General features: G+C 41.7%; 2 long non-coding RNA genes across 2 annotated transcripts; both read left to right on the forward strand.

Moving 5' to 3' along the window:
• Positions 1–1252: 1252 nt before the first annotated feature.
• LOC105372574 (uncharacterized) lies at positions 1253–9641 on the forward strand. Its single transcript, XR_937387.2, has 3 exons — positions 1253–1462; positions 7383–7504; positions 8093–9641. It is a non-coding gene; the product is annotated as an uncharacterized LOC105372574 (long non-coding RNA).
• A 13151-nt stretch (positions 9642–22792) lies between these two features.
• Positions 22793–24230, forward strand: LOC124904966 (uncharacterized). Its single transcript, XR_007067750.1, has 2 exons — positions 22793–22996; positions 23563–24230. It is a non-coding gene; the product is annotated as an uncharacterized LOC124904966 (long non-coding RNA).
• The last annotated feature ends 206 nt before the right edge of the window (positions 24231–24436 follow it).

Raw genomic sequence — 24436 nt, forward strand, 5'->3', positions numbered from 1 at the left:
GAACATAAAGAATTTCATGCTTTTGAGGAAATTCATTACTGAGAAATATTTATACAGCAGGTTTTCTCTGTACTAGTACACTATTACATGAGACTGTGTATGTGTGTATGAGATTGTGTGTGTGCATGCACCTGAACAAGGCACCAATCCCTCAGGAGCCTGAGAGCTGCCCACTACGGGTCCCCTGATGGCTCACTCCATTCAACAGCTCTTGTGTTCCCCCGGAAGCCCTCATTGCTCTTCTCTGAGGTCTCTGGGTTCCCACTGCAGCATTTGTTATCACTGTTGTAGTTCAGCAGCACCATGGCATTTTCCTAGGGTAGCATCACATTGGAGATGCACTCGCTTTACCTCCTGTGCTTCCTACCAGTGGGCTCAACCTACTCCAAGGCAAGCTCTTCTCATGAGACTCCCAGGCTGAGAAGGAAAGAAAGGGGTGTCTATCAGCTGCCATGTCTATGCCTCTCTGCCTCCTTTTTTCCATGCACATGGCGCACTGCCTACTTGCTCAATGCTGTGGTCTCAGCTCTAGCACAGGAATCAGTAGGGAATTAGTTGACTGAATGAATGGATTCTCTAACAATCTTTACAAAATGTGTTTTCCACATTTTTCAGACAAGGAACCTGCAACAAAAAGTGTCAGTCCCTACACTGTGATCTCATCACTGCTCAGCACTCATTCAGTCAAAATAAGGTTATGGTGTGACTGCTGTATGCTAGGAACTATATTCTCATCAGAAAAGGAATCTCTCTATATTTTGGGAATACATGAAGAACAAAATGATGATGTGTAAGAGGTTCTTGCCAAACTGCTCGGCACAGAGAAGCCCTGGAGAAAGGGTGAGAGTGTTGCTGGTGTGGGCTCTGTTGGCTGGGTTCCAGGACTCTTCTTCTGGGACACCCTGTGCTTCCTGCCACCCTCCCCAGGGTCATTTCTTATCCTTCCCCAGTTGCATTTTGATATTTCCTTTAAGATTTCACTATTTTTCAAAAGATGGAAAAGTAATTAAAACACTAACCATCAAAACAGCAGTTCTCACAAGTAGTCATCATCACCTCATGGGAGCTGCCAGCAAGCTATCCACATGGAATCATCTTATCCACACTGGGAAAGTCTCTGAAACACCCATAAAGGCATGTTCATCCAGTATGCACACTGAGTGTCCTCCACATTCCACAGATTGTGAGAAGCACAGACACATTACAGAGAATGAGATGGATACAATATTGCCTTCAATGAACTGGTTGCCAAGTCAAATTCTAACTGCAGAGAATGATCAGGAAAGATCAATTTGAGGAAATAACATTTGAGCTAGACTTTTAAGGAGGAGAAAGAGCCAGCTGCAGAAAGCCAACAAGAGGGGTGTTTGATGCAAAGAAAATCATAAACCGACCCCCAGCTGGAAATGATCCTAACCTGTGGAAGCTCCTGAATTGAGTGAGGGACTGGCCGGCAGGAGAGGTAAGCAGACTGGGTTTGGTGGATGAGCAGATATCAATTCCTGCCATGCCTTGCACACCGTGCTGAAGAATTTCTATTTTACTCCAAGTGAAATGAGAAGCCTTTGAAAGCTTTTACCAGGACATGACAAGACACCTTTTATATTATTAGAAGGCTGGCATGGCCACAGGGAAGGAACGGGCTTCTAGTTGGTGAGAATGGGAGGGCGGAGAACAGTCAGGAGGACATTGCATTTCCTCAGGAAAGAGAGGATAGTGGCCTGTGCCTGTGCCGTGGCCAGGAGGTGGAGCACAGGAGACTGAGGATGCCTGTGAGAGGTGGCGGGGCAGGACTTGCTGAGGGCTGGGTTGAGGGCGCAGTGAGGAGGAAAGAACAGAACTGCAGCCCAGGCCTGAGTAAGTTACAGGATGGTTACTCAGCCAAGGCAGAGGTGAGGATGAGCAGATTTTCAGGGCTGGGGCTTTGGAGAGGAATCCAGAGCTGTTCCCACAGAGGCTTGGGATGTCACCCATGTAGGACTGTGGATCTCAAATGCTACTCCCTGGATCCAGCCTGGATGTTCAGGTTTTACCAGAGTGCAGGGGAGGGCACCTCTCGATTTTGATCATGGACTTCATATGGTGCAGTACCACATGGTTTTCCATTATGAATTAGTGATAGTCAATTTTAGTCTTTGCCAACCATATTTGGAAAATCAACATTAGCAGTCCTTAATCCAAAAAAGCATGGATTACAGGAACCCAGAGTCTATAACCCATCGCTTGGAAGGTGTCTGAGAGGGATCCTGGGCTGTGTCCGAGTTGGCAGGCAGGGTGGGTGGCTGATTTCTGAGAGACAGAGGGCATCTGACGGAAACTAAGGCGGGAAGAGGCTCACAGAGTGGCAATCATCCAACCTCACAATAAAGAAGAGGACAATATTTTGAAATGTGACATGTGAAGATGAAGACATCATGAAGAGAATCTTCCAAGGGGCAGAGAAACCAAAAGCTACAGGGCAATTCCTTTGCCCACAGCCACCTGCCCTGAAAATCCTGCTGGGTTCATGAGTTTGCAGAGAACCTCTGTAAGGTGGGGCCTGCATCCTCCACTTCACACACTGACCACCAGAGGGAAGCACTCACCCACTGATGTCCAGTCCCTCAGGTCCCTCTACTCCAGCTTCACCCTGGGGAGCAGGCTCTGAAAGTGGCCCTGGGGTCGACATAGGGTCTGCCTTGAAGGAAGAAGCTCTACAAACTAAACACTCCCTGAGTGCTGTATGGGTTCTGCAGAGGCCCCTCTGCTTGGCTCTGTCCTTGCTGCTCTGGGTTACCTGGGTGTGCAGGGTTTTATTGCTCAGAGCCATGGCCAGTAGATGGCACAGCCTCCTGTTCCTGCAGCTGTCCCCACAGCCCCTGCTGGACAGGCCCAGAATGGACCCTCTCAGAAGACAAGGACTCTCTCAGGGTGGGTGATGAACATGTGGACACCTCTGTGGACAAGACTGGTTTCTTTCCTCTCTTTCACTCTTCCCCCTTCCGCTTATCTCCCTGTTCACTCTCTTCCTTCCCTCCCCCTTTACTAAAGCTACTCATCTCCCAACTACTTCTTATTCATGGTCCCTTCTGGAGGTCAGAAGTATGAATGCCAGGGAAAATCTACTTTTGTTCCTGTGGTTAACAGGGACACGCGATTCATTTGTGGTTAACAGGGACTCGCGATTCATTTGTGGCAGACACAGTTTTCCATCCACGATGAGGAGTCTAAGGAGAAGATTTACCTGAGTCCCGACCTGATAAATCTCTAGAGGGTAGAACTCTCTTACTAGTACCTGGCCAGGCCTGGTGCTTACATTCTACTCCAAATAGCTTCATCCTCTCCCATAAAACATAGTATCACCACCATCTCCATCCAAGCCATCACCATTATCATCACGACAATCACCACTGTCCCATCACCATCACCGTTATCACCACTGTTGTAACCATCATCACTAGTGTCACCATCATTATCTCCACCAACATCACCATCAATCTCAGTACCATCAGCACATTTATCCCCATTATCATCAACACCCCATCACCACTATTACCATCACTATCAACCACCATCACCATCACCGCCATCACCATCATTATCAACACCATTGCCATTGCCATAATTATTACTACTAACATCACCATCACCACCATCACCACAACCACCACCATTACCATCATCACTACCATCACCACCACCATTGCCATCACCATCACCACCACAGTCACCATGGTAATCCTCATCAGTAACACCATCATCTTCATAACTACCATTACCAGTATCAACATGACCACCATAACCACCATCATCACCACATCACTATCTTCATTACCATCATCATCACCATAATCACCGCCACTCTCACCACCATCATCATTATCATCACCACCATCTTCTCCCTTATCACCACCATCACCATTACTGCCACCACCATCACCATCAGCACTTTTGCCACATCATAACCACTACCACCACCATCACCAATATTATCACCACCATCATCACTACCATCACCACGCTATGACCATTATTACCAACATGACCACTGCAATCCCCATCATCACTGTCACTATCACCACCATTACTATCATCACCAGAATCACCACTGCTGCTATAGCATCATCATTAGCATCTTCACCACCATCACCATCTCCACCTCCACAATACCATCATCATCACCATCATCATTATCATCGTCACTGCTGGGTGTAAGCAGTTACTCTGCATTGGGCACTGTTTTCTGCCCTTTATCAACCTCATGTGATTATACAGTCACTCTGATTCTATATTTTATACAGAAAAAGAAGGTGGTAATTGGCTTTGTAACATTATAACTGCCTTCTATTCTCAGAACTATTTTGACATCAATAAAAAAGAAGACTTATTTTATTTCTCATCTCCCACATTGCTGGATGCTGTCTAGATAGGTCTGGTCTGGACATCCACAGTGAACTCCTCACTGGTCCACTAGTCTCCACCCTTAGATTCTGTTTCTCTGGTTCTCAAATGTTCTGAAAGCCACATCCCCTGCCACATGAGGCCCTGGAAACTTGCCCTCTGTGGCTGCCCTCCAGCCTTTGCCCATCACATAGCTTGGCCTTTAGAGAAGCTGGACTTCCTTGATGTTCTCAGACACATCCTGTCCAAGCTTATATGAATTTGCCCTTCTGGAAAGTGCACCTGTAGCTCCCCACCCACCCTAGATCTTTGCCTCTTCAAATATAACATGCTTCCCAAGTTCAGGTCTACACAAACCTTTTCTATAAATCCTTCTCTGATCCATGTAACCAGGTGTGAACCTTTTGATTTTGGTCTCCTACAGCACTTTTATGTTGACTATAGGCATTTATCCTCCTCCTCTCATGGTCTTTCTTACTCGTGTGTGTATTTCTGTCCCCCACTAGTCCATGAGGTCCTGGAGAGCAAGGACTGAGTCTCCTTCCCCATGTGATGTGCCTTTCAGAGATCACTGAGAGAATCACAAACCAAAACTAGCTAATAATAATGTCACCTTACAATGAACATAATTCAATAATTTATTATAGCATCACATAACTGCTTAGTAGTTACTATTACTGTCTCCATTTTACAGATGAAGAAACTGAACCACAGAGAGGCAAGTATTACAAAGTTGCACAGCTTATAAGTGGAAGAACCAGGCTTTTAACCCATGCAGTCTGGTTTCATGCTTTTGGCATGAGGTTAGATCTCCCAGCAGTCCCCAGTCCTCAACACCTTTGGATACTTGGCAAATTCCATGGTGGGCCCAGTTTGATAGCCTTTGACCTGGAGCTCAGTGTTTGAAACCCCTGAAACTCCAGGGTCATCTCTCCTCATATGGAACTTGACACTTATTCACGCCCATATGTCTTGGCCCAGACTCCCTGTTTTGGAATTCCCTTCCCCTATGTCACCTCATTGATTCCTCTTCAACTTTTGTGATTCCACAGAAATTACATTCTCCATAAAGATGACTGTCAAGATTGGGCTACCCAGAGGGAGACCTTGTAACCAGAATTCAATTTCAAGTGGCTTATCTGGAAGGCAGTCCCAGGGTACACTCCTAGGACAGTGAGGAAATGAAATAGGGATGAGAAGGTGGTCAATACTATGAGTGTGAGCTGTCAGGCTACTGCTATGCAGCTCATTTCTGCTGGGAACTTCTGGGAGATTGTGTTTAACATGTCAGCTGGTGTCAGTCCTTGGAGAATGTGTCAGGGAATTAGTTATCTTGCACTTACTTGGGCTATTTGTACAGGTAAATGGGTACAGATGCTGGTAATTGGAAGTTGGGCTGGTAGGTGCTCAAGTAGAGAGGACCCAGGAATGTGGGCAGCTTGTCCTCCTCTCCCAGCCTCTGTGGGTTTGGTTCCCTTCTCTGTGCTCTCCAGTGCCCTGTTCTCTCCTCTGATTTCCACTTCCCTCTCTAGCAGACCTGACACTCATTGAGGGTGGATGACTCGGATCTTCCTGCTTGATATCTCCAGCACCCAATCGAGCGTCTACCACACATCACATGCTCAATAATACAGGAGGAGGACACAATTAGGCCCATTTTATGACAAGCCTGAAAATTTTCTATAAATCTTTGTTTGACAACTTTAATTTATGGACAAATATTCTTGAATAATTAAAAGAGAAACATTTTATAAAAGTTGCAGGAACAAAAAGCAAATAGCTTTATGTCATTAAAAAAAAAATCACACAGAAAAGTTAAAATGTCTATAAAGGAAATGAGAGACAAGGAAAATTGTAATCATTAGCTTGGAGGCCCAAAAGTAAAATAAGGTAAAGGTGAAAATGAATCACAGGTGCCATGAAGCTCATTCCCTTCTATGAAACAAGGAATTGGGTAAGAGAGGCAACCCGAAGCCACATGCCAGCACCCAGACAGTTCCAAGTGGGTTCAGGGCAAAATAATCTTGGCATCTTGGTGAACTCGGTGGGTGAAAACACAAATGATCATCAAGGTACTCTGCCTAGGTGTTGCTTGACTGCCCAAAGATGGGTAAAATATTTTCTGTGTACTTTAAGGCATTTTCAGGATACTGTATACATATATATATATATATTTTTTTTTTTTGTCATGGAGTCTCACTGTGTCCCCCAGGCTGCAGTGCAGTGGCTCAATCTCAGCTAAATACAACCTCTGCCTCCTAGATTCAAGCAATTCTCCTGCCTCAGCCTCCCAAGTAGCTGGGACCGCGGGTATGCGCTACCATGCCCAGCTAATTTTTGTATTTTTAGTAAAGACAGGGTTTCACTATGTTGGCCAGGCTGGTCTCGAACTCCTGACATCAAGTGATCGACCCGCCTTGGCCTCCCAAAGTGCTGGGATTATAGGCATGAGCCATCCCCCCTGTGAGGTGACTATATTTTATTATACTTCTATTATTTGGTTTCAGGTCCACTGTGTCCAAAATGTCTGGGGAAGTGGAGGTGGTGAGCAGGGAGAAACTGGGATCTGAGCTGTGCTATTGCTTGCCTGGTATCCTGGTGCTGTGGGCAGAAGCACAGACATCTGCCTGATGTGATTGAGTGGGTATTTGTGATAGTCTTTAGGGCTGTCCCTTGAGTGCTTCTGTTTCTTATGGGTACAAGATAGGATTGTCCTTCCCCTTCCTTTGAGTTGGCTGTAGTCATGACCTGCTTTGGTCAATATAATAGATGAATAAGTGACATCTGTTACTTCCAGTTGCACTTGGGGAAAGCTGGTGCTTATTGCCTTGGCCCCTGATACTGTTGTGAGGGTGTCTTCTCCATCATCTTGGGATCCAGAGTGAGCACAACATAGTTCAGCACCCCGACACACATGCAGTGCATCTATACAAATAGCAGTCACAGTAATGGAATGGTATGTTGCTGTCTTAAGTCCCTCGTACTTTTTTTTGTTACCACAGCATAACACAGCTCATCCTGACTGATGCCACCATTTCCAGATAAGAGAAATGCGACTGAGAAAGATTAAGATATTTTCTTAAGATTGGACATTGTGTTCCTACCCATTGTGCTTGCCTTATAGGTATGTGTTCTGGTTTTGACAATTAAGATATAGACAAAATGAGGGCAGAAACATTTGATTATTTACTCAGAGCAGGAGAGGGAGAAAGAGAATTAATGTGAAAGGAAGAAGATATGTAAGGAGGAAAAATAATAAACTAGGAACCAAGCACATGCAATCTTTATAATTTCTTAGAGTTTTCTTCCCTTTTGAAAGTCTGTTTTATTTTAAAAAAGGAAGGAGGATCTTCCATTAATTTTATAGGACATCTCATGCTTTTTGTAAAACAGAGTTTTATTCATTTTCCACTAAATGCAAATATTTATTGCCCATCTACTATACACTATACATTCACCTTTGTTCTGCATATTTCTCCTCTTTTTAAAAGGTATAATTTGTCAACATTCAGTTCATAGATTTATAGCCAAATGTTGTCTGTATACCTATTGGTTTCACTTTGATCTCCTATATCCAGAAAAAGTAAATAATCAAGAAAAGACTTTAATAACTAATTATAAGATAAACATTAAGGCTTCTGTGTACACTATAGAGTTTGTTTTAAAATTATTTTTGTACTCATTCATTCATTTCTCTTAATTTTTTTTCCAGTTGAAAGAGAGTTTATTTAAGCACAGAGATCAAGCAAGAGTGGAGCACAGGACACACTTTCAGGTTGCCTTGGGGACTGCTCTGTAGAACAAAAAATCAAACTCAAGATTTTAAGGAAAAAAAGTACAAGTGAAGAGAAGGCGTGATTACCAAAGTTGTTGATCTAATTCTCATTGATTTACAGAAATAACAGTGGCTAATGATCAGCTATACATTGTTGAATTATAGGATGTATGGCATTTAAAAATGTATTTATTTAAAACTAATTTTTTTAGATTTTTGATGGATTTAGGGGTACAGGTGCAGTTGTGTTACATGTATATATTTTGTAGAGATGAAATCTGGGCTTTTACGTACAACTACCCAAAAAAGATACATTGTACCCAATAGGCAGCATTTCACTTTCACCCTCATTCTATCCTCCCACTGTTTGGAGCCTCCAATGTCTATCATTCCACTCAGTAAGTCCATGTCCACGGTTTAGCACCCATGTATAATTGGGAACATGCAGTTCTTGATTTTCTGTTTCTGAGTCATTTCACTAAGGGTAATGGCCTCCAGTTCCACACACATGCTGCAAAAGTCATAATTTCATCCACTTTTATGGCTGAATAGTATTCCATGGTATATATCTACCAGATTGTTTTATTCAATGATATGTTGATGGACACTTAGGTTGATTTCGCAATTTTGCTATTCTGAATTGTGCTACAATAAACATACAAATGCAGAAGGCTTTTTTATATAATGATTTCTTTCTTTTTGGGGAGTACATGTGCAGTAGTGGAATTGCTGGATTGAAGGGTAGTTCTATTTTTAGTTTTCTAGAAATTATCATACTGTTTTCCATAGAGGTCATGCTAATTACACACCAACCAATACATATTTTCCAACATCTTGCTTTTTGACCATTTTTGAGACAGGGTCTCCCTCTGTTGCCCAGGCTGAAGTGCAGTGGCATGATCATAGGTCACTGCAACCCCAATCTCTTGGGCTCAAGGCATCCTCTTGGGTCTGCCTCCTGAGTAGTAAGGACTACAGGCCCATACCACCACACCTGGATATTTTTTTTCTTGTTTCTTGAGACAAGGTTCCACTATGTTGCCCAGGCTTATCTTGAATGCCTGGACTCAAGTGATTCACCCACCTCAGCCTCTCAAAATACTGTGATGACAAGCATGAACCACTGCACTTGGCCATTTTTTGACTGTTTAATAACAGCCATTGTGACTATTATAAGATGGTATGGCATTGCGGCTTTAATTTTCATTTCTCTGACATTTAATTATGTTAAGTATTTTCATATGTTTGCCGTTTATATGTCTTTTATTTAAAAATGTCTGTTCATACCCTGTGGCCACTTTTTAATGGGGTTATTCTTGTTTTTCTTGTTGAGTTGTTTAAGTTCCTTGTAGAGCCTGGATATTAGCTCTTTGTCAGATACACTGCTGGCAAATCTTTCCGCCCATTCTGCAGGTTGTTTGTTTACTGAGAATTATTTCTTTTGATGTGCAGAAGCTTTTTAGTTTTATTAAGTCCCATTTCTCTGTTTTGGTTTTTGTCGTATTTTATTTTGAGGACTTCATGATAAATTATTTGCCTAGACCAATATTTAGAAGAGTTTTTCCTAAGTTGTCTTCTAAGATTTTTTTAGTTTCTGTTCTTACATTTAAGTCTTTAATCCACCTTGAGTTAATTTTTGTATGTGATGGAAGGTAAGAGGCCAATTTCATGAATCTACATATGGCTCACCAATTATCCCAGCACCATTTATTGAATAGAATGTGATTTCTCTTTATAAAATTTTGTCAACTTTGTCAGCGATCAGTTGGTTGTAGCTATGTGGCTTTATTTTTCCATATGTGTCTCTTTCTACAACAAGACCATGCTGTTTTGGCTACTAGAGCCATACAATATAATGTGATCTGTCCAATTTTATTCTCTTTGCTTAGCATTGCTTTGGGTATTCAGGATCTTTTTTGGTTCCATGTGAACTTTACGATTTTTTTTTTCTGATTCTATGAAGAATGACATTGGTAGTTTGATAGTAATTTAATTGAATCTGTAGATAGCTTGGGCAGTATGGTCATTTTAATGATATTGATTCCCCCAGTCTATAAGCATGGGATTTTTAAAATACATTTTTGCCATCTATTATTTCTTTCTTTAGTGTTTCATAGTTCTCTTTGTAGAGATCTTTCACTCCTTGATTAAATGTATTTCAAGGTATTTTATTACTTTTTGTAACTATTATGAATTGGATTGAGTTCTTGATTTGGTTCTCAGCTTGGACATTATTGTTATATAGAAATGCTACTGATTTTTGTACATTAATTTTGTATCCTGAAACTTTCATGAAGAAATTTATCAAATCGAAGAGCCTTTTGGGGGAATCTTTAGGGTTTTCTAGGTATAAGTTCATATCATAAAAAAATACGAGAATTTGACTTCCTCTTTTAGAACTTTGATGTACTTTATTTCTTTCTTCTGCCTGATTGCTTTAGCTAGAACTTCCAGTAGTACGTTGAATAGGAGTCCTCGTAGTGGATATCCTTGCCTTGTTCTTATTCTTAGGGAAAATGTTTTCAACTTTTCTTCATTCAGAATGATGTTGGCTTTGGGTTTGTCATATATGGCATTTATCGTTTTGAGGTATGCTCATTTTATGCCTAATTGGTAAGGGTCTTTATTATGAAGAGATGCTGGATTTTGTTGAATGCCTTTTTCTGAATCTTTTGATATGATCACATGGTTTTTGTTTTTAATTCTGTTTATATGGTGAATCCTATTTTTTGATTTGTGTATGTTGAATCAATCTTGCATCTCTGGAATAAAACCCACTCAATCTTGTGTATTAGTCTTTGATATGCTGTTAGATTTTGTGTGGTAGCATTTTGTTAAGGATTTTTGCTTCTATGTTTATTACAGATATTGTTTTGTAGTTTTTTTTGTTGTTGTTGTTGTTGTTTTTGGTTGTGTTCTTTTCTATCTTTGGTATCATTGCAATGCTGACTGCATAGAATAAATTAGAGAAGATTCCCTTTTTGGAACAGTTTCAGTAAGATTGGCAGCAGTTCTGTCTGGTACATCTGATAGTACCTGGCTTTGAACTCATCTGGTCCTAGGCTTTTTTGTTGTTGGGATTTTTTTTCTTACTAATTCAATTTTATTACTTATTATTGGTCTGTTCAAAATTTCTGTTTCTTCCTGGTTGAACCTCAGGGGTTGTATATTTCCAGAAATCCATCTGTTTCTTCTAGGTTTTCTCATTGATCACATAGAGTTGCTCAGAGTAGTCTTTGATAATCTTCTGTATTTCTGTTGTTATCAGTTGTAATGACACCTTTATCACTTCTGCTTGCACTTGTTTGAATCTCCTCTCTTTGTCTGTTGGTTAATCCAGCTAGTGGTCTATTGATTTTGTTGATCTTTTCAAACAACCAACTTCATTTCATTGATTCTTTTTTTTTTTTTTTTTGGTCTCAATTTCATTTAGTCCTTTTCTGATTTTTATTCTTTTTTTCCTTTTTTACTAGCCTTTGGTGTGTTTTTTTCTTTTCCTCAAGTTTCTTGAGGTATAACCTTAAGTTGTTTATTTGAGATCTTTCTATCTTTTTCATGTAGGCAGTTAATGTTATAAACTTCCCTCTTAGCACTGATTTTGTTGTTTTTCGGATATTTTTTGCAAGCTATATCTTTATTTTTATTCATTTACAATTTTTTTGATGTGGGTCTTAATTTCATCATTGGTCCAACAGTCGTTCAGAAGCAGATCATTTAATTTTCATGTATTTGTATAGTTTTGAGTATTCCTCTTAGTGTTGATCTGTATTTTTATTTCACTGTTGTTTTTAGAAGGTGCTTGATATGATTTCAATTTTTTTACATTTATTGAGATTTTCCTTGTGGCCTAGCATGTGATAAATTTTTGAGAATGTTTCATGCATACATGAGAAGACTGTATATTCTGAGGTTGTAGGGTAGAATATTTTGTAAATATCTGTTAGGTCCATTTGCTCTAGAATTCAACTTTAATCCAGAATTTTTTGTTGTTGTTGATTTTCTGCCTCAATGAACTGTCTAGTTGTGTCAGTGGGATATTGAAGTCCCATACAAATACTGTATTGGTAGCTATCTTTTTTTTTAGGTGTAGTAGTATTTGTTTTATGAATCTAGGTGTTCCAATGTTTGGTGCACATGTATTTGGAATTGTTAGATCTTCTCAAATAAATTTCTTTATCATTATATAATTACCTTCTTTGTCTCATTTATAGATTTTTCTATATTTTTTACTTTTTTCTTCTCTCTCTGGAATATCTATGACTCTTATTTTTACATGCTTTTTATATGGTCCCATATTTCTTGAAATCTTTAATCATTAATTTTTTTTTCCTTTATTTTTGTCTGGCTGGATTAATTTGAAAGACCTACTTTCCATCTCTGAAATAATTTCTTCTGCTTTGGTCAAGCCTACTGTTGATGCTTTTACCTGGATTTTAAAATTTCACCAATACAGTTTTTATTTTTAGTAGTTGTATGGGTTTTTAAAAATCTATCTCTTTTTTCATGTCTTGAATTGTATTTCTGATTTATGTTGCTTTTCAACTATCTCTTGGCTTATTTTGTGCTTTTTAAAAATCAGTATTTTAAATTCTTTATCAAGCATTTCAAAAAAATTATTTTCATGAAGACCCATTTCTGGAGAGTTAGTGTGGTCCTTTTGAGGTATTGTTACTCTCTGCTTTTCCATACTTTTGAATTTTTTTTTGCTGATTCTTTCTCATCTGCAAAAGCTATCTCTGCTTCTAATTCTTAAATTTACTTTCATTTGGAAGGGATGTTTTTGTTTTTTTCTTTTCTCCCTTGAGAATGTGTATAATGTCTGCTGTGTAGGGTTCAACTTTGGTTCTGGACTTTCATTGTTAAAGGTTCTGTGTATGTTCCTTGGTTATAGATAGTCTTTGTATGGTGGCTTTCTCAGATGTTGGTTGTAGTAGTGGTGTAGGGATGAATGAGTGGGTTCACTGTCTCCTACAAGTCCAGTGTGGTTGAGGTCTCAGGAAGCTTATCTCATTCTCCAGTGCAATGCATTTCTGTCAGCAGATTTTCTATTAGATTGTGTCATTTATTTTCCAAGCCAGTGTGTGGTGCTTATGGATAAGAACCAGCTAAGGCTGATGCAAATGGGGCATATACTTGATCTTTGTTTATGGCGAGATGCTTTCTGTTGCCTCAGGCAATGGGCTATGTTGTGCAATGCACAGTGGTGTGAGCTCCCTGTACAGTCCTGGACTAAGGGAACAAGTTGGTTGGGGCCAGAGAATGCAGACATGCCTACATGTCCACCAGTGGTAGGTGCAAGCACTAGCTCTGAGGGCAGATAAAGAGGCAGCTGCAAAACATCCAGAGAGCTGCCTGGGTATGGAGGGGATAACCCTCTGCTGCCCAAAGTTCTCTGCCTGGAAAGGGAGTGGTAACCTACCCTCCTAATCTTGAAAAGTGAGTAATCCATATGCCTGAAGATATGTCCAGGCATGGAGCATAGTGGGTGCTGCTGATTCAAGACCTATGCACCTGAAGGGAGGAGTGGCTGAGGCTCCTAATCCAGGTGAGAAGGTTCTCCAAATGCCTGGGAATGTGCCCAGCATGGAGTGGAGAGGGTGCTGCTGCAGAAAGATCTCTGCATGAGAAGAGAGGGGCAGCTCAGATTCCTATTCCGGGTAAGTGGGTCCTCAACATGCCTGGAAGTATCCCTGAGCATGACAGAGAGGGCACTGTTGTACCAAGATTTCTGCACAGGATAAGAGAAGTGACTCAGGGTTCCAGTCCAGTAGAGTAGGTGTGCTGAATGCTTGGAACGATACCTTAGAGTGGAGTAGCAAAGTACAGATGCACCAAGATCTCTGCATTAGAAGGGAAAGGCAACTTATGCTCCTAATCCAGGTGAGGGGGCACACTGAATTCTTGAAATTATGCCTGGTTGTGGAGTGAAGAGGGTGCTTCTACACCAAGATGTCTGCACGGGAATGGAGGCGTGACCCAGGATCTTAATCTATGTGAGCAGATGGGCCAAATGCCTGGAAATATGCCCCTCAGTGAGGAACAAAAAAATTTGCTTCAGAGCAGTGAAATGGCTATTGCAAAAAGGTCTTTGCAGGAAAGGCTGCTAGACACTTATTTCAGGAAGTGGAAGTGTTGAATGCTGGGAAATACGCCCAGGCTTGGACCTGAGGGGGTTTGTTGCTTTGCCAAGTTATTTGCAAGATAAGGGAACTGTGGCCCACACTCCCAATTCAGACCAGCAGCTCTGTCTTTGAGTATGCTCTGTAGGCCCATGAGAAGAATGTATGTTCTGTGGTTGATGTGAGAGGTGAAGACAGCTAGGCTTCTGGGTCAGGTGGGGACTTGGAGAACTCTTCTGTCTAGCTAAAGGATTGTCAATGCACCAATCAATGCTCTGTGTCTAGCTAAAGATTTGTAAATGCACCAACCAGCACTCTGTAAAATGGACCAATCAGCAGGATGTGGGTGGGGGCAAATAAGGGAATAAAAGCTGGCCACCTGAGCCAGCAGCTGCTACCTGCTTGGGTTGCCTTGCATGTTGTGGAAGCTTTGTTCTTTCGCTGTTCACAATAAATCTTGCTGCTGCTCACTCTTTGGGTCTGCACTACCTTTATGAGCTGTAACCCTCACCATGAAGGTCTGCAATTTCACTCCTGAAGTCAGTGAGACCATGAACCCACCAGGAGGAATGAACAACTCCAGATGCGCCACCTTTAAGAGCTGTAACACTCACTGTGAAGGTCTGTGGCTTCACTTCTGAAGTCAGCAAGACCACAAACCCAGCAGAAGGAATAAACTCCAGACACATCTGAACTTCAGAAGGAACAACTCTGGACACACCATCTTTAAGAACTGTAACACCCACCACGAGGGTCCACGGCTTCATTCTTGAAGTCAGCAAGACCAAGAATCCACCAGAAATAACCAATTCTGAACACATTTTGGTGACCACGAAGGCACTATCACCTATTACCAAGCAGTGAGTACCATCAGACCCATTTTGCTATTTATTGTGTCCTATTTTTCCTTAGAACTTGGGTGCTAAATACTGGGCACCTGTCAGCCAGTTAAAAGTGACTAGCGCAGCCACCAGACTAAAGACATGGGTGTCAGGCTTTCTGGGAAAAGGCTCTCTAACAACCCCCAACTCTTTAAAGTTGGGAGCGTTGGTTTGCCTGGAACCAGCTTCCACTTTTCCTGTACTTCTGGGCTGAGCTGGGGGTCAACAGAGAGGAAAGCCATTCAGCTCTCAGGGTCAACAATTTGGTTGACCCTGGGGCCATGAGTGGAACTCTCAAAGTCATGTCGCCCAAGCAAGACTCGCCCATCTATCCTATCTATCCTATCTCTCCTGACCCTTGCCTCCTGGATTCTAATGCTTGTCAGACAAACTTCCTCTCACCTCTCTTCTCTGAGGCTAGTCCCACTTCTAAAAACTACTTCCTGTCTCTGGTGCTTTTCTAGTTTCTCCTGTAAGAGTGATTTCTAGTATAAACTTCAGGACTCTGTTACCTTCTTTAGGCTCCCTGGTTCACCAATCAGAAAGACAAAATTTTTGCCCAAAGCCCCATCACAGGGGGGACTATCTGGAATTTTAGGATCCCTCCTCAGACAAGCAGGCCTAGAGAAGCTATTCTGGAAGCTAGGATATGGGGAGCTTCAGAAATGATATCCTTCCTATTCATATAAGTGAGGACAAAAAGGCATCACTCTTCCAACTCTGATGATCCCTCCCCTCCCTCAGGCTATGGCCCTCCACTTCATTTTTCAGGCATAACATCTTTATAGGACAGAGTTAAAGTCCCAACACTAACATGAGAATGCTTAGGACTAACAGGTTTTCAAGAATGTGTTGGTAAAGACCACTAAATCCAATTTTTCTCAGTCTTCTTTGTGGTCTAGGAGGACAGGCAAGGGTGCAGGTTTTCAAGAATGCATTGGTAAGGGCCACTAAATCTGACCTTCCTCAGTCCTCCTTGTGGAAGAAAACTAACGTTTCTGTTGCTGCATTGGTGAGTGAAACTATTCCAATCAGCAGGGTCCAGGGACTGTTGCATGTTCTTGGGCAAGAGGTGTTTCTGCTGCTGCATCGGTGAGTGCAACTACTCCAATCAGCAGGTCCCAAGGACCATTTTGGGTTCTTGGGCAGGGGGAGAAACAAGCAAACCAAAACCATGGGCAGTTTTGTCTTTCAGACGGGAAACACTCAGGCATCAACAGGCTCACCCTTGAAATGCATCCTAAGCCATTGGAACCAATTTGACCCACAAACCCTGAAAAAGAGGTGGCTCATTTTTTTCTGCAATATGGCTTGGCCCCAATATTCTCTCTCTGAAGGGGGAAAATGGCCACCTGATGGAAGTATAAATTACAATACTATCCTGCAGCTTGACCATTTCTGTAAGAGAGAAGACAAATGGAGTGAAATACCTTATATCCAAGCTTTCTTTACATTGAAGGAGAATACACAACTATGCAAAGCTTACAATTTACATCCCACAGGAGGACCTTTCAGGTTACCCCCATATCCTAGCCTCCCTATATCTCCCCTTCCTATTAATAATAAGCCTCCTCTAATCTCACCAGCTCAGAAGGAAATAGGCAACCAAATCTCCAAAGGACCACAAAAACCCCTGGGCTATCAGTTATGCCCCCTTCAAGCTGTAGGGGGAAGGGAATTTGTCCCAACACAGGTAGATGTCCCTTTCTCCCTCTCTGATTTAAAGCAGATCAAGACAGACCTGGGGAAGTTTTCAGATGATCCTGATAGTTACATAGATGTCCTACAGGGCCTAAGGCAAACCTTCAATCTCACTTGGAGAGATGTCATGTTATTATTAGATCAAATCCTGTCCTTTAATGAAAAGAATGCAGCTTTAGCTGCAGCCCAAGAGTCTGGAGATACGTGGTATCTTACTCAAGTAAATGATAGAATGACAGCTGAAGAAAGGGACAAATTCCCTACTGCTCAGCAAGCCATCCCCAGTATGGATCCCCACTGGGACCTCGACTCAGATCATGGGGACTGGAGTCACAAACCTCTGTTAACCTGTGTTCTAGAAGGACTAAGGAGAATGAGGAAAAAGCCCATGAATTATTCAGTGATGTCCACCACGTCAGGGAAAGGAAGAAAGTGCTTCTGCCTTCCTCGAGCAGCTATGGGAGGCCTTAAGAATATATACTCCCCTGTCACCCGACTCACTAGGGGGTCAATTAATCCTGAAAGATAAGTTTATTACCCAATCAGCTGCAGACATCAGGAGAAAGCTCTAAAAGTAAGCCCTGGGCCCTGAACAAAATCTGGAGGCATTATTAAACCTGCCAACTTCGGTGTTCTATGATAGGGACCAAGAGGAACAGGCCCAAAAGGAAAAGCAAAATCAGAGAAAGGCCACAGCCTTAGTCATGGCCCTCAGACAAACAAACACTGGTGGTTCAGAGAGGACAGAAAATGGAGCAGGCCAATCACCAGGTAGCGCTTGTTATCAGTGTGGTTTACAAGGACACTTTAAAAAACGTTGTCCTATGAGAAACAAGCTGTCTCCTTGTCCATGTTCACTATGCCAAGGCAATCACTGGAAGGCACATTGCCCCAGAGTGCAATGGTTCTCTGGGCCAGAAGCCCCAACCAGATGATCCAACAACAAGACTGAGGGTGCCCGGGGCAAGTGCCAGTTCATGTCATCACGCTCACTGAGCCCTGGGTATGTATAACCATTGAGGGCCAGGAAATTGACTTCCTCCTGGACACTGGCACAGCTTTGTCAGTGTTAATCTACTGTTCTGGACAGGTGCCCTCAAGGTCTGTTACCATCCGAGGAATCCCGGGGTAGATATTTCTCCCACTTCCTCAGTTGTAATTGGGAGACTTTGCTCTTTTCACATGTCTTTCTTGTTATGCCTGAAAGTCCTATACCCTTATTAGGGAGGGATATATTAGCCAAAGCTGCAGCTATTATTTACATGAATATGGGGAACAAGTTATCCATTTGTTGTCCCCTGCTTGAGGAGGGAATCAACCCTGAAGTCTGGGCATTGGAAGAAACAAATTCAAGCTCCAGCCTTAAACCTTCCCACAAGACAAAACTTCTCTTTATACATCACAAGGAGAGCAGGAATAGCTCTTGGAGTCCTTACTTATACTTGTGGGACAACCCCATATCAGTGGCATAGTTAAGTAAGGAAATTGATGTAGTAGCAAAAGGCTGGCCTCACCATTTATGGGTAGTTGTGGGGGTGGCCATCTTAGTGTTAGAGGTTATCAAAATAATACAAGGAAAGGATCTCACTGTCTGGACTACTCATGATGTAAATGACATACTAGGTGCCAAACGATGTTTATGGTTATCAGACAACCACCTACTTAGATACCAGGTGCTAGTCCTTGAGGGACTGGTGCTTCAAATATGTATGTGCATGGCCCTCAACCCTGCCACTTTTCTCCCAGAGGATGAGGAGCCAATCAAGCATGACTGCCAAAAAATTATAGTCCAGATTTATGTCACCTGAGATGATCTCTTAGAAGTCCCCTTAGCTAATCCTGACCTAAACTATATACTGATGGAAGTTCATCTGTGGAGAATGGGATATGAAGGGCAGGTTATGCCATAGTAACAGTACTTGAAAGTAAGCCTCTTCCCCCAGGGACCAGCACCCAGTTATCAGAACTAGTGGCACTTACCCAAGACTTAGAACTGGGAAAGGGAAGAAGAATAAATGTGTATACAAATAGCAAGTATGCTTATCTAATCCTACATGCCCATGCTGCAATCTGGAAAGAAAGGGAGTTCCTAACCTCTGGGAGAACCCCCATTAAATACCACAAGAAAACCATGGAGTTATTGCACGCAGTGCAAAAACCCAAGGAGGTGGCAGTCTTACACTGCTAAGCCCATCAAAAGGGGAAGGAGAGGGGAGAACAGCAGCATAAGCAGCTGGCAGAGGCAGGGAAAGACCAGCAGAAAGGAAAGAGAGAAAGAGATAAAAAGTTAGAGAGAGAGAGACAGAGAGAGGAAGAGAGAGAGAAAAAGGGAGTCAGAGAGAAAGAAAGAGAAAAAGTCAAAGAGACAAAGAGAGGAAGAGAGAGAGACAAAGAGGGAGTCAGAGAGAGAGAGAAAAAGAGAGACACAGAAAGTCAAAGAGAGAGAGGAAGAGACAGAAAAAGAGAGAGTCAAAAAGAGAGAGACAAAGAAATCAAAGAGAAAGAGAGATAGAAGTAGTAAAGAAAAAAGTGTACCCTATTCCTTTAAAAGCCAGGGTAAAATTAAAACCTATAATTGATAAATGAAGGTTTTCTCTGTAACCCTATAACACTCCAATACCACCTTGTCATTGTAAACAAGGGTGTAGCCCGAAAGCACTGAGGCCACTGAAAACCCTTAGCCTTCCTATCAAAAATCCTTAACCCAGCAGGTTTCCTAACAGGGGATCTAAATCTTAATTAATTACTATACAAACATCCGACCAAATCTAGGAGGAACTCTCTTCAGGACAGGAGGATAGATGGTTCCTCCCAGGTGATTAAGGAAAAAGACACAATGGGTATTCAGTAAGTGATAAGGAAAATCATAGAATCAGAATTAGGAAAATTGTCTAATAATTGATCTGCTCAAGGGTGCGAGCTGTTTACACTAACCCAAACCTTAAAGTACTTACAGAATCAGGAAGGAGCCATCCATACCAGTTCTAAGTTAATATGGACTGAACGAGGTCTTATTAATAGCAAAGAAGAATTGAAATCCCAAACTTAAAAGGTTTTCAACAAAAGTAAAGTTTGCTAAAAGTTAACAGTGTAAACTTATATTATCCTAACTTCCAGTCTTGTGAAATCAGACCCTATCAGTACCCTATAATTGATATTATAGCTCAAGTATAATTGATATTATAGCTCAAGTACCCTATAATTAATATTAAATCTCAAGTCCATCAGCTCAGAGCTATACAACTAATACCCCTACTTACAGGGTTAGGAATGGCTACTGCTACAGGAACCGGAATAGCCAGTTTATTTACTTCATTATCCTACTACCACACACTCTCAAAGGATTTCTTAGACAGTTTGCAAGAAATAGCGAAATCTATCCTTACTCTACAATCCCAAATAGACTCTTTGGCAGCCATGATTCTCCAAACCACCGAGGCCTAGACTCCTCACTGCTGAGAAAGGAGGACTCTGTACCTTCTTAGGGGAAGAGTGTTGTTTTTACACTAGCCAGTCAGGGATAGTACAAGATGCCACCCGACATTTACAGAAAAACGATTCTGAAATCAGATAACACCTTTCAAGCTCTTATACCAACCTCTGGAGTTGAGCAACATGGCTTCTCCCCTTTCTAGGTACCCTGGCAGCCATCTTGCTATTACCTGCCTTCGGGCCCTGTATTTTTAACCTCCTTGTCAAATTTGTTTCCTCTAGGATTGAGGCCACCAAGCTTCAGATGGTCTTACATATGGAAACCCAAATGAGCTCAACTAACAACTTCTACCAAGGACCCCTGGACTAACCCACTGGCCCTTTCACTGGCCTAAAGAGTTCACCTCTGGAGGATACTACAACTGCAGGGCCCCTTCTTTGCCCCTATCCAGCAGGAAGTAGCTAGAGTGGTCATCATTGAACTCCCAACAGCAGTTGGGGTGTCCTGTTTGAGGAGGGATTGACAGGTGAAGCCAGCTAGGCTTCTGGGTCAGGTGGGGACTTGGAGAACTTTTATGTGTAGCTAAAGGATGGTAAATGCACCAATCAGCACTCTGTGTCTAGCTAAAGGTTTGTAAAGGCACCAATCAGCACTCTGTAAAAACAGACTAATCAGCACTCTGTAAAATGGACCAATCAGCAGGTTGTGGGGGGGGCCAAATAAGGGAATAAAAGCTGGCCACCTAGCCAGCAGTGGCAACCCACTTGGGTCCCCTTCCACGCTGTGGAAGCTTTGTTCTTTCACTCTTCACAATAAATCTTGCTGCTGCTCACTCTTTGGGTCCTCACTACCTTTATGAGCTGTAACCCTCACCACGAAGGTCTGCAGCTTCACTCCTGAAGTCAGTGAGAGCACAAACCCACCAGGAGGAATGAGCAACTCCAGACATACCACCTTAAGAGCTGTAACACTCACTGTGAAGGTCTGTGGCTTCACTTCTGAAGTCAGCAAGACCACGAACCCACCAGAAGGAAGAAACTCCAGACATATATGAACATCTGAAGGAACAACTCTGGACACACCATCTTTAAGAACTGTAACACTCACCGCCAGGGTCCGCAGCTTTATTCTTGAAGTCGGCGAGGCCAAGAACCCACCAGAAGGAACCAATTCAGGACACAGATAGGTGGAGCATTCTGTAGATGTCTATGAGGTCCAATTGGTCAAGTGTCAAATTTAAATCCAGAATTTCTTTGTTAGTTTTCTACATTGATGATCTATCTAACACTGCCAGTGGGATGTTGAAGTACCCCATTATAATTCTGTGGCTAATTCTTTTTGTAGGCCTGGGCATACTTGTTTATGAATCTGGGGGCTGCAATGTTGGGTGCATATATGTTTAAGAATAATTAAGTCTTCTTGTTTAATTGAACCGTTTGTCATCATGTAATGCCCTTCTTTGTCCTCTCTAAATTGCTGTTTTGTGTTTAAAGTCTGTTTCATCTGATGTAAAAATAGCAACCCTCTCCCTTTTTTATTTTCTATTTGTGTGATCTCCCTCCAACCTTTTATGTTGAGACCATAGGTGTCATTACGTGTGAGATGGATCTTTTGAAGACAGCAGATGGATGGGTCTGGGTTTTTAATTACAACTTGTAATCTGTGCCTTTTAAGTGGTGTATTTAGGTTGTTTATAATCAAGGTTAATTTTTGTTTGTTTGTTTGTTTGTTTGAGATAGAGTCTCACTCTAGCACCCAGGATGGAGTGCAGTGGCACAATCTCAGCTCACTGCAACCTCCGCCTCCTTGGTTCAAGTGATTCTTCTGCCTCAGCCTCCCAAGTAGCTGGGATTACAGGTGTGCACCACCATGCCCAGCTAATTTTTTGTATTTTTAATAGAGACAGGGTTTCACCATGATGGCCAGACTGGTCTCGAACCCCTGACTTCATGATCCGGCCGTCTCGGCCTCCCAAAGTGCTGGGATTACAGGCTTGAGCCACTGTGCCTGGCCCAAGGTTAATATTTATATGTGAGTTTTTGATCCTACCATGAAGGTGACAACTGGTTTCCTTGCAGTATGTATTGTATTGTTGCTATATACTGTCTTTGAACTATATTTAACTGTATTTTTGCAACAGTAGGTATTGTTCTCTTATTTCCATGTTTAGAACTCCCTTAAGCATCTCTTAAGGCTGGTCTAGTGGTAACAAATTTTCTCAGTAACTGCTTGTCTGGAAAAGATTGTTTTTCTTCTTTGCTTATGAAGCTTAGTTGGATGGGATAGGACATTCTTGGTTGGAATCTATTGTCTTTAAGAACGCTGAAAATAGGTTAGTGTCATGAAAATGTACTCACTAATATGGTATGTACAATAGCACACCAGGCAGTTTGTTTTTATTTTATGTTATTTTGTTTTTAATTTTACCCAAGTGAGACCCAAGTTTTTGTATTTTTTATGGGAATTTAATGAGATAGAATTTCTTGATTTTTCATGTTTGTAGGGTGCAGATCTGCGTAGTGAAACTACCCACAGCAAGGATGTATGCCTGTGAGGTGGCACAGAACTGATGGATCAGACTTGGCCTTCAACCTCCTGTTATCCTGATGAAATTGCAAGCTCCAAACAACAGAGACACAACATTGACCAACAGTAAGATGGCTTGAAGAAATATTTCTTTCAGGACAAACTCTGTGCATTCCATGAGGTAATCAATATAGTATATAGCTATACATTTGCACAATTTTGAAGCCCACTACAACAGTCAGAGTTTTAAAATGCTGTGTTTAGTGAGCATTATTGATAGAGTCTTTAAGATCATCAATCTTAAGTCAAGAAAATTTAGAAAGTACTAAAATCTTAGCGCTCACATGAAAGAAAACTGGAAGCTTTTCCAAATTAGACAACAATCAGACAAATTTGCATAGTATTACCTATATGAGCTTTGAAGCAGAAAGAAAATGTTATAATCCATGATTTTCACAAGTAGGATTGATTGTAGTATTTCATAATTTTGGATGATTGTATTATTTATCAGAATTTTAAAGTGATCAAACTTAGTGGAAAGACTGGTTTATCTTTCTGCTATATTTATGGAAAATTCTATTATAAAATCAATGTCATGTGATGAAGCAAATAGTTACTCAATAGTTGAGTATGAAAACATAGAAATAACTTGTTACACTGTTGAGTCAAGTAGTTAATAAAAATGCTATGTTAGCATGTAAAAAGAACACAAATTAAGGAAGGGCAAATCTGCCCTTTCATCTGCAGGGTGGATGGATGGACTTATGAGGACAAAGCCACTGACATCATGAGCAGGAAACAATGCTTCTCTCAAGCTGCAGCTTCGAAATGTCAAACAGCCTCTTCCTTGGGTGACAACTGCTTTCTGACTCAAAGGAAGACCTTGCTCTCCAGCATCAGGGGCTGTCAGAAACTTTGCTTTTGAGTAAGTACAACATCACACTGCCTGGAGGATCTAGGTCCACCTTTACACAGAAGCACAGAGCTACAGAGAAGGGGTTTCTGGATGGAACATTCACATCTGGCTGGACTTCATGGGTTCTAAGGACAGAGGACCTGGGTCCACTTTGCAGACCAGACTTGACACTGGCTGCTTTACACTTAGGACTGCTACGTTGTGAGTCCATCACTACAGCCTCAAGAATCCCTCCCCACAGTCTTATAATAACCTCTTTGCTTTGTTTTTTTAGTCATCCCAGGTTTCTTAATGTGAATTTATTCCCTTTTTGCTACAAGCCAATAATCCTGAGTCTGTTAACTGCAAAATCAGTTTTGGTGACTGAATGCACTAGGATGTATATTAGTTTCTGGAATTTGGGATGACTGTAGCATTTTTCAGCATTTTAAAGTGAGTAATTTGTTGTGACTTATTTCCTTTTCTTAAATAAACACTAACTTCTGTGTTTAGTTTCAAATAGTTTATATTATGCTATTTTTCATGTAGATAACCCTCTGAATTATGTAAGCCTCAGACCTCACGGAACCTGGATTGCCAGTGGTCATAGTGCTGAGAATCCACCTGCCCAAGGAATGACCGCTCTGGTTCCCGCTTCCCAGGCCTCCAATGGACTTATCCCTCCTTTCAGAGTGATTTGTCTATGCTGAAGGTGGAGTTTCTAAC

Source organism: Homo sapiens, chromosome 20 (assembly GCF_000001405.40).
Source record: "Homo sapiens chromosome 20, GRCh38.p14 Primary Assembly".
In the NCBI taxonomy this organism is placed as follows: domain Eukaryota; kingdom Metazoa; phylum Chordata; class Mammalia; order Primates; family Hominidae; genus Homo; species Homo sapiens.